General features: G+C 45.2%; 1 annotated feature.

Annotated features, from left to right (window-relative positions):
• Positions 7,826 to 8,034: a silencer, noted in NCBI's record as "fragment chr8:70869603-70869811 (GRCh37/hg19 assembly coordinates)". NCBI's record gives its function as "represses an EF-1alpha promoter that drives an FKBP-Casp9 reporter gene in an ReSE screen in K562 erythroleukemia cells {active_cell/tissue: K562}" and the evidence as "EXISTENCE:reporter gene assay evidence [ECO:0000049][PMID:32094911]".

Genomic DNA, 9,981 nt, shown 5'->3' with positions numbered 1-9,981 from the left:
TGGATCACCTGAGGTCAGGAGTTTGAGACCAGCCTGACCAACATGAAGAAACCCCGTCTTTACTAAAATTACAAAATTAGCTGGGCGTGGTGGTGCATGCCTGTAATCCCCACTACTCGGGAGGCTGAGGCAGGAGGATCGCTTGAACCCAGGAGGCAGAGGTTGCAGTGAGCCAAGATCATGCCATTGAACTCCAGCCTGGGCAACAAGAGCAAAACTCCATCTCAAAAAATAAAAAAAAAGGCTGGGCGTGGTGGCTCATGCCTGTAATCCCAGAACTTTGGGAGGCCAAGGTGAGTGGATCACGAGGTCAAGAGATCGAGACCAGCCTGGCCAACATGGTGAAACCCCGTCTCTACTAAAAAAAAAAACACAAAAAATTAGCTGGGCGTGGTGGCACGCACCTGTAGTCCCAGCTACTCAGGAGGCTGAGGCAGGAGAATTGCTTAAACCTGGGAGGCGGAGGTTGCAGGAGGTTGCAGTGAGCCAAGATTGCACCACTGCACTCCAGCCTGGGCAATAGAGTGAGACTCTTTCTCAAAAAAAATGAAAAATGAAAATAAATAAATAAATAAAATAAATAAGTAAAATAAAATTTATTTAATTTTAATTTTTTTGGGGGGGAGATGGGGTCTCACTGTGTTGCCCAGACTCGTCTTGAACTCCTAGGCTAAAGTGATCTGTGCACCTCAGCCTCCCCAGATGCTGGGATTACAGGTGTGAGCCACTGCACCCAGCCCAATTCTGTTTTAATTTTTGATTTTTGTTAGAGACGGGGTCTCACTATGTTGCCCAGGCTGGTCTTGAACTCCTAGGTTTAAGTAATCTGCCTGCCTCAGCCTCCCAACGTGCTGGGATTACAGGCATGAGCCACTGTGCCTGGTGCTTTCCCATTCTTTTCTCCATTGTTGAACGTGTTGTCATTAATTTAAAAATTTCTATAGATGGGCTGGGCATGGTGGCTCACACCTATAATCCCAGCACTTTGGGAGGCTGAGGTAAGTATATCACTTGAGGTCAGCAGCTCAAGACCAGCCTGACCAACATGGTGAAATCCCGTCTCTACTAAATATACAAAAATTAGCCGACTTCTCAGAGGATGAGGTGGGAGAATTGCTTGGCTTGAACCTGGGAGGTGGACGTTGCAGTGAGCCGAGATTGTGCCATTGAACTCCAGCCCAGGCAACAGAGTGAGACTCCATATAGACAAAAAAAGTTTTCTATAGATGGACAATTGGATTGTCTTCACCTTTTGCTATTAGAAGTCATGCTGATTTTAATAATCTTGCTTATTTAGAATGTATCCAGGGATAACTTAGGATAAATTCTTAAAAGCACCCTTGCCACTTGAAAGGGTCAATGCATTTGTAATTTTAATATATATTGCTAAATTACCTCCATAGGGGTTGTACTTCTCCTATATCCCCCACAGAGTATGTTGCCCAAATTTTGATTTTTTGCCAGCCTGATAGATAAGACATTATGATATCTCCATGGAGGTTTAACACACGTATACTTTCTTCACTGTGAGTGAAATTGAGCATCTTTTCACATGTTGCAGGCCTTTTCTGCTTTAATTTCCCTAAACTGTCTATTCATGGCCATTCTTTGCCATTAACAGCGCCCTTAAATGTGACACTTTTTCCTCTGGTAGTCTCACTGTGTGTGTGTGTGTGTGTGTGTATGTGTGTGTGTGTGTGCAAGTGTGTAAATAATAATATATTTCTCTGTTGCTGCAATCTCTCCTCCACCCTCCCCGCTCTGATGTTGTTTGATTTTATACTCCCATTCTGTTTTTTTCTCACTAATAAAATGGAATACAAAGACTATTAGTCAATTAATTTTATTTTTTATTTAATTAATTTATTTAATTTGAGACAGAGTCTAACTCTGTCTCCCAGGCTGGAGTGCAGTGACGCGATCTCAGCTCACTTCAACTTGATTCACCTCCCGGGTTCAAGCGATTCTCATGCCTCAATCTCCCGAGTAGCTGGGACTACTCTCCTTGAGCCACCATGCCCGGGTAATTTTTTTTCGTATTTTTAGTAGAGATGGGATTTCACCATGTTGGCCAGGCTGGTTTTGAACTTCTGGCCTCAGGTGATCTACCCGCCTTGGCCTCTCAAAGTGGCAGGATTACAGGCGTGAGCCACTGTACCCGGCCTTAATTTTAGTTACTACTCACAATTAACACATCAGATATCTCATTAGGTAGATGCTTCATGTCTTCTGCACATACTTTTTACGTCTTCTTTGCTGCATTAAAGAAAAACACGGCATCAGAGACAAATAGGCAATAACAGCTGTGATGCTATTTTTAAGTGTGGGAGCTCAGAGCCCCATCCTGGTTTTATTTCAATGAGCTGATGAGGCAGCAGCGATGGATGGGTTCTTGGACCTTTCCTGACTACTGGAGAAAATGGGTTCAAAATAGAAATGACCTTTTGGGAAGCACAGGGAAATTTTGGAAAGCCTGATGAGCTTCTGAAACCATCTGTGTAACATCCCTCAGCAAATGTATTTTCAGAGAAATAAAATGACTGTAGAGTCCATTTGCTTTCCTTCTGGCTCACTGAATCACCTCTGACTCTAATTTGTTTTTGTAAGTCTGACTCAGGAACAATCGAACAAATTTGGGTTTGTAATTTTCATAGGAAAGTGAGCCAAGTGTAGGGATTAGAAATGTCTATGTGGGTAGGGTCCAGTGGCTCACACCTGTAATCTCAGCACTTTGGGAGGCTGAGGCAGGAGGATTGCTTGAGCCCAGGAGTTTGAGACCAGGCTGGGCCATACAGCAATACATCATCTCTATTATCTTTATTATTAAAAACAAACTAATACATAAAAATTTTAAAAAGAAATGTCTATTTACTAAAAATAAAACCTTCCAGCCAATAGAGACAATTTTATTAACTAAGGTTATGATTTATTGATTCATAAGTGCTTAGGGAAATCTGAAAATATGGCAGGTGATCATTTCTTCAAGAAAGCCTCCTAGCTCAACAACTCTTATAAAAAGTATGAAAAGGCACGTTATGGTGGTTCATGTCTATAATCCCAGCATTTTGGGAGGCCCAGGTGGCCTTTTGAAATCTGGCAAAACTCTGTCTCTACGAAAATAAAAAGAAAAGAAAAAAAAAATAGCCAGATGCGGTGGTGCACACCTGTAGTCTAGCTACTTGCGAGGCTGAGGATCTCTTGAGCCCAGGAGTTGAGGCAGAAGTGAGCAGCGATTGAACCACTGCACACCAACCTGGGCGACAGAGCAAGATTGTGTTTCAAAAAAAAAAAAAGTTTTGAAAATAACAGTGATGTGAATGTGAATGTGTGTTGTTGCTGTGATTTCTGGGTATTGGGTTCTGTATTAGTTTCCTAGGGCTGCTGTAACAAAGTACCATCAGTGAAGTGGCTTAAAACAACAGAAGTTCGGCTGGGTGCAGTGGCTCATGCCTATAATGCCAGAACTTTGGGAGGCTGAGGTGGGTGGATCGCCTGAGGTCAGGAGTTCGAGACTAGCCTAGCCAACATGGCAAAACCCCGTCTCTACTAAAAATACAAAAATTAGCTGGGCGTGGTGGTGGGCACCTGTAATCCCAGCTACTCAGGAGGCTGAGGCAGGAGAATCACTTGAACTGGGAGGTGGAGGTTGCAGTGAGCCAAGATCGCACCATTGCACCCCAGCCTGGGTGACAAGAGTGAAACTCTGCCTGAAAAAAAAAAAAGCAAAATGTTAGTCATAAAGGACAAATAGCATGATTCCTGTTTTTTTGTTTTGATTTGTTTTGTTTTGTTTTGTTTTTTTGAGACAGGATCTTGTTATGTCACCCAGGCTGGAGTGCAGTGGTACAATCTTGGCTTGCTGCAGCCTCAAATTCCTGGGCTCAAGCGATCCTCTCACCTCAGCCTCCCGAGTAGCTGGGACTTCAGGCATGTCACCATACTTGGCAAATTTTGTTAATTTTTTTGTAGAGACGGGGTTGCTCTATGTTGCCCAGACTGGTGATTCCTATATTATATAAGGTTCCTAGAATAGTTAAATTCATGGAAGCAGAAAATAGAATGGTGGTTGCTTAGGGCTGAGAGGAGGGTGGGAATGGGGAGTTAGTGTTTAGTGGATATGAGTTCCCTTTTGGAAAGATGAAAAAGTTCCAGAGATGGATGGTGGTGATGATTGCACAACAATGTGACTGTATTTAATGCTACCGAGCTGTACACTTAAAAGTGGTTAAATACAAGGCTGGCCGCGGTGGCTCATGCCTGAAATCCCAGCACTTTGGGGGATTTCGAGGTGGATCATGAGGTCAGAAGTTCAAGACCAGCCTGGCCAACATGGTGAAACCCCCTGTCTACTAAAAATAAACAAAATTGCTGGGTGTAGTGGTGTGCACCTGTAATCCCAGCTACCCAGGGGGCTGAGGCAGGAGAATCGCTTGAACCCGGGAGGTGGAGCTTGCAGTGAGCCGAGATTGTGCCACTGCACTTCAGTCTGGGAAGCAGAGCAAGACTCTGTCTAGAGAAAAAAAAAAGTGATTAAATACAAAAATTAGCCGGGCATGGTGGTGGGCACCTGTAATCCCAGTTACTCAGGAGGCTGAGGCAGAGAATTGCTTGAACCCGGGAGGCGAAGGTTGCAGCAAGCTGAGATCGCACCACTGCACTCCAGGCTGGATGACAGAGCAAAACTTTCTCTCAAAAAAAAAAAAAGTGGTTAAAATGGTAAACTTTATGTTCCAGTTATTTTCCCATACACAACAACAAAAAAATGGTTACAATGGTAAATTTTTATTTTAATTTATTTTTTGGGACGGAGTTTCGCTCTTCTCACCCAGCCTGGCGTGCAATGGCATGATCTTGGCTCACTGCAATCTCTGCCTGCCGTGTTCAAGTCATTCTTCTGCCTCAGCCTCCCAAGTAGCTGAGATCACAGGTGCCTGCCACCACGCCCGGCTAATTTTTGTATTTTCAGTAGAGACAGGATTTCACCATGTTGGCCTGGCTGGTCTCGAACTCCTGTCCTCAGGTGATCCTGCCACCTCGGTCTCCCAAAGTGCTGGGATCACAGGTGTGAACCACTGCACCCAGCCCACAATATATATATATATTTTTTTTTAGGAAAGGGTGTGCTAGCTCCCTCGTGATGGAAGAAACCGACCAAGCCAGTGGTGGTTGCAGCCCTTCCTGTGATAACTTTGATTCAATTAAGCACGTTCTCTTCAGACAATCAAGGGTTAGTGGTTGTGGGGTGGAAGGGGGTTAACTGGTGGTGGAGGGTGTTTTGATTAAGAGCTTTATTTTGTTATCTTCTCCTAGGGCTCAGAATTCTTTTTTTTTTTTTTTTTCCGACAGAGTCTTACTTTGTTGCCCAGGTTGGAGTGCAGCGGCAGCGGCGTGATCTCGGCTCACTACAACCTCTGCCTCCCTGGCTCAAGTGATTCTCTTGCCTCAGCCTCCTGAGTAGCTGGGATTACAGGTGGCCACCACCACGCCAGGTTAATTTTTTTTGTATTTTTAATAGAGATGGGGTTTCGCCATGTCGGCCAGGCTTGTCTCTAACTCCTGACCTCAAGTGATCCACCCGCCTTGGTCTCCCAAAGTGCTGGGATTATAGGCGTGAGCCACTGCGCCTGGCCAAGGCTCAGAATTCTGACTGAAACTCCTTTTTTGGTTTGTTTGACACCTTTTCAAGGGAGTATCACTTTCCCTGCTCTGAGTCTAGTGGCCTAGTCACTTGTAGAGTTATTTCCTGAGAAACCCAAGCACCACTCCTCTGATCTTGGCTAGGAAAGCAGTTCACAGCCCCTGTGTCTTCATGAAAAAAATGTATCACTCAAGGGCCAAAAGGTGGGTATTTGGATGTGAGTTCTTTGGTCTTTTGTCTAGGTATTTCTTGAATCTCAAAGAGCAAAATATAATATAGCCCCTGGTTTTCTAAACAAAAGTATCATACCAAGAGACTTTTTGATATTGAGAATTTCCAATTAAAACAAAAATCCATTATCGTGGAAAAATTGGTAGTTACTCACTCATTTGTCAATGCAAAATAAGAGACTAAAAAAATATGTAGCTTTCTAATTTTAGCCAGGCCTGTGCTCTTCATAAAAGCTCCCTGTCGGCTGGGCATAGTGGCTCACGCCTATAATCCAGCACTTTGGGAGGCCAAGGCTGGCGGATCATCTGAGGTCAGTAGTTTAAGACCAGGCTGACCAACCTGGAGAAACTCTCATCTCCACTAAAAATACAAATTAGCCGGGCATGGTGGTGCATGCCTGTAATCCCAGCTACTCGGGAGGCTGAGGCAGGAGAATCGCTTGAATACGGGAGGCGGAGATTGCGGTGAGCCGAGATCGTGCCATTGCACTCCAGCCTGGGCAACTAGAGCAAAACCCTGTCTCAAAAAAAAAAAAAAAAAAAATGCTCCCTGTCACCTCTCTCCGCATTGCATTCCTGTGATCACGGGTAGTTGTCAAGTTGAAAATGGTAAATGACCCTACAGCCTTTGCTAAGAAACATTATGTATTCAATTAATGGCCCATAAAATGATTTAGGTAAAAGACAAGACTGCAATTTCTTCTTCCAAAGGAGAAAGAAAGACGATACTGTCTAATTTACCAAACTTCAAGCTTTTAAAAGGTTTTAGGAAATGTAAAATATCTCTTGCACAGGATTATAGAAGCTGAAAGAGGAAACCTGGAGCTATAAGTCAAAGAGAAACTATAGGTACATTCTAAAGGTACATTCCTTTCTGTGTATGTGACTGTTTCCTCCTCGCAGCCTTTCTGTGGGCAGATTGCTCATTTAATTAGAGAAAACGTTGATATGGAATGAGATAAACACTGTGTACTTAAAAATTAAATTAAATACACCAGGCACCATGGCTCACGCCTGTAATCCCAGCACTTTGGGAGGCTGAGGTGGGAGGATCCCTTGAGCTCAGGAGTTTGAGACAGTCAGGGCAACATAGTGAGACTCCCATCTTTATAAATAATAATAAAAAAATATATTAGCTGGGGCCGAGTGCGATGGCTCACGCCTGTAATCCCAGCACTTTGGGAGGCCGAGGGGGGCAGATCATGAGGTCAGGAGATTGAGACCATCCTGGCTAACACGGTGAAACCCTGTCTCTACTAAAAATAAAAAAAAAAAACAATAACTGGGCGTGGTGGCAGGCGCCTGTAGTCCCAGCTACTCGGGAGGCCGAGGCAGGAGAATGGCTTGAACCTGGGTGGTGGAGCTTGCAGTGAGCCAAGATTGCGCCACTGCACTCCAGCCTGGGTGACAGAGCGAGACTCTGTCTCAAAAAAAAAAAAAAAAGAAAAATATATTAGCTGGGTGTGGTGGTGCACGTCTGTGGTCCCAGCTACTCTGGAAGCTGAGGTGGGAGGATCACCTGAGCATGGGAGGTCAGGGCTGCAGTGAGCCAAGATCGCTCCACTGCACACCAGTCTGGGTGACAGAATGAGACCCTATCTCAAAAAAAAAAATTATATGTAGAAAAACGTGACATTCATAAGGAATATACACAGATCCTTTGCTCTTTATCACATATACTATAGATGAATAAAGTTGCATAATTAAAACAACATGGCATGAAAGGAAAGTGTGTAACACCCCAGATGGTAGGAAGGCACCACTGAAGAAGGGGGTACTGTATGTACTCTGGATGTCTGTTTGTATTTTTTTTTTTCTTTTTGAGAGGGAGTCTTGCTCTGTGGCCCAGGCTGGAATGCAACTGCACAATCTCAGCTCACTGCAACCTCCGCCTCCCAGGTTCAAGCAATTATTCTGCCTCAGCCTCCCAAGTAGCTGGGATTACAGGCAGGTGCCACCATTCCCGGCTAATTTTTGCATTTAGTAGAGACGGGGGTTTCACCATGTTGGCCAGGCTGGTCTTGGACTCCTGACCTCAGGTGATCCACCCACCTTGGCCTCCCAAAGTGCTTGGATTACAGGCGTGAGCTACCGCGCCTGGCCTAGATGTCTGTTTTCATGAGACTGTTAACTTTACCAACATCTGAAGAGGTTCTTTAATTCAGGACCTTATAATAACATCAAAAGTGTTCTTTGAGGACAGGCATGGTGGCTCACACCGGTAATCCCTGCACTTTAGGAGGCTGAGGCGGGCAGATCACCTGAGGTCAGGAGTTTGAGACCAGCCTGGCCAACATGGCCAAACCCTGTCTCTACTAAAAATACAAAAATAAGGTGGGCTTAGCGGCAGGCACGGGTATCCAGCTACTCAAGTGGCTGAGGCAGGAGAATCCCTTGAGCCCAGGAGGTGGAGGTTGCAGTGAGCCAAGATCGAGCCATTGCACTCCAGCCTGGGTGACAAAGTGAGACTCCATCTGAAAAAAAAAGTATTTTCTGAGAATGGCTGAACTACACAATGAAGTGAGACTTCTGTTTTCTGAAACCACTGGCTTAAGCGTGAGTAAATATATCACAAACACCGTGTTGTGTGGCTTTGGTATTAAGCCCTAATTCATCCTGAGGCAGCTGTGGGGCACTGGACTGGGCATGTCAGGAGATGTCTTCATCTGTCACACCCGGAACCCTGTGGCTGCCCTGGTTCTTTTCTGGCTCTTTCTCTGCCGCTCCCTGATGATAGGCACCAGATGGATACCAACCACGGAAACACTAGGTCTCTCTCTGCAGTTGCTCAGAGCTCTGAAGAGTTGAGGTTCGCTCACTTTTGGAAGTCCCCACTTCATCCTGGGAGGGTAGGCGCCTCACTGCACTGTCGGCAGCTCTCTCATCTGTCACTCTCAGAGTCCCTGTGAGCCAGGTGCTTGTGTCGGTGGGGATGCAATGGGGATACTGCTCAACTTTTGGATACTAGCACAGAGCAGCTTCCAATTTGAATTGCACCTAAAAAATCCTCCTCCCCAAAGCAGGAATTATAGACTCTGAGATTCATTCAGTCTTTCATTCATTCATTCATTCATTCATTCATTTTGGTCTTTTTTCCCTCGTAGTAGAGAAAGCAATCAAACCCAAATTTGATCATGTTATTATTATTATTATTTTTTGAGACAGAGTCTCACTCTGTTACCCAGGCTGGAGTGCAGTGGCGCAATCTCGGCTCACTGCAAGCTCCGCCTCCCAGGTTCACGCCATTCTCCTGCCTCAGCCTCCTGTGTAGCTGGGACTACAGGCGCCTGCCATCACGCCCGGCTAATTTTTTGTATTTTTAGTAGAGACGGGGTTTCACCATGTTGGCCAGGATGGTCTCGATCTCCTGACCTCGTGATCTGCCCTCCTTGGCCTCCCAAAGTGCTGGGATTACAGGCATGAGCCACGGCGCCCGGCGATCATGTTATTTTTCTGCTCAAAAAATAGCCAAAGTGCCACTGCCCTTAGAATGAACTCTAAGTCTGTATCTTGGCTTACATGTCATTCTTTGGGTCTTTATCATGAGCTCTATGCCATGTGCAAGGCCAGTTTTAAGATATTTGGGATGGATCGGTGCAGCAAATAAGACCCCCCATGCCACAGGGGCTTGCATTCTGGCCAGGGGAGATAGTAAATATAAACATGACATGGAAGTAAATTTTAAAGATTGTTAGGTGATAAGCACTTGGAAGAAAGCAAAAGTAGTGCATGGGCCGGGCGCAGTGGCTCTTGCCTGTAATCCTAGCACTTTGGGAGGCGGAGGTGGGTGGATTGCTTGAGGTCAGGAGACCAGCCTGGCCAATATGGTGAAACGCTGTCTCTACTAAAATACAAAAATTAGCTGAGCGTGGTGGCTACTGGGGAGGCTGAAGCAGAATTGCTTGAACCCAGGAGGCGGAGGTTGCAATGAGCCAAGATCACACCACTGCACTCCAGCCTGGGCAACAGAGTGAGACTCTATCTCAAAATAAATAAATAAAATTAAATAAAAAGAAAAAGTAGTGCATGGAGTACAGGTGTGTGGTGGTGAGTTGTCCTTTCAATCAAGACCCTAACTGCTTATCCTTGCCCTGGGCCTCCCTGTACACTGAC

The sequence above is a fragment of the Homo sapiens genome, chromosome 8, assembly GCF_000001405.40.
Source record: "Homo sapiens chromosome 8, GRCh38.p14 Primary Assembly".
NCBI lineage: Eukaryota > Metazoa > Chordata > Mammalia > Primates > Hominidae > Homo > Homo sapiens.
Note: the sequence above shows the minus strand (reverse complement) of the source record. Positions and strands in the feature narration are given on the sequence as shown.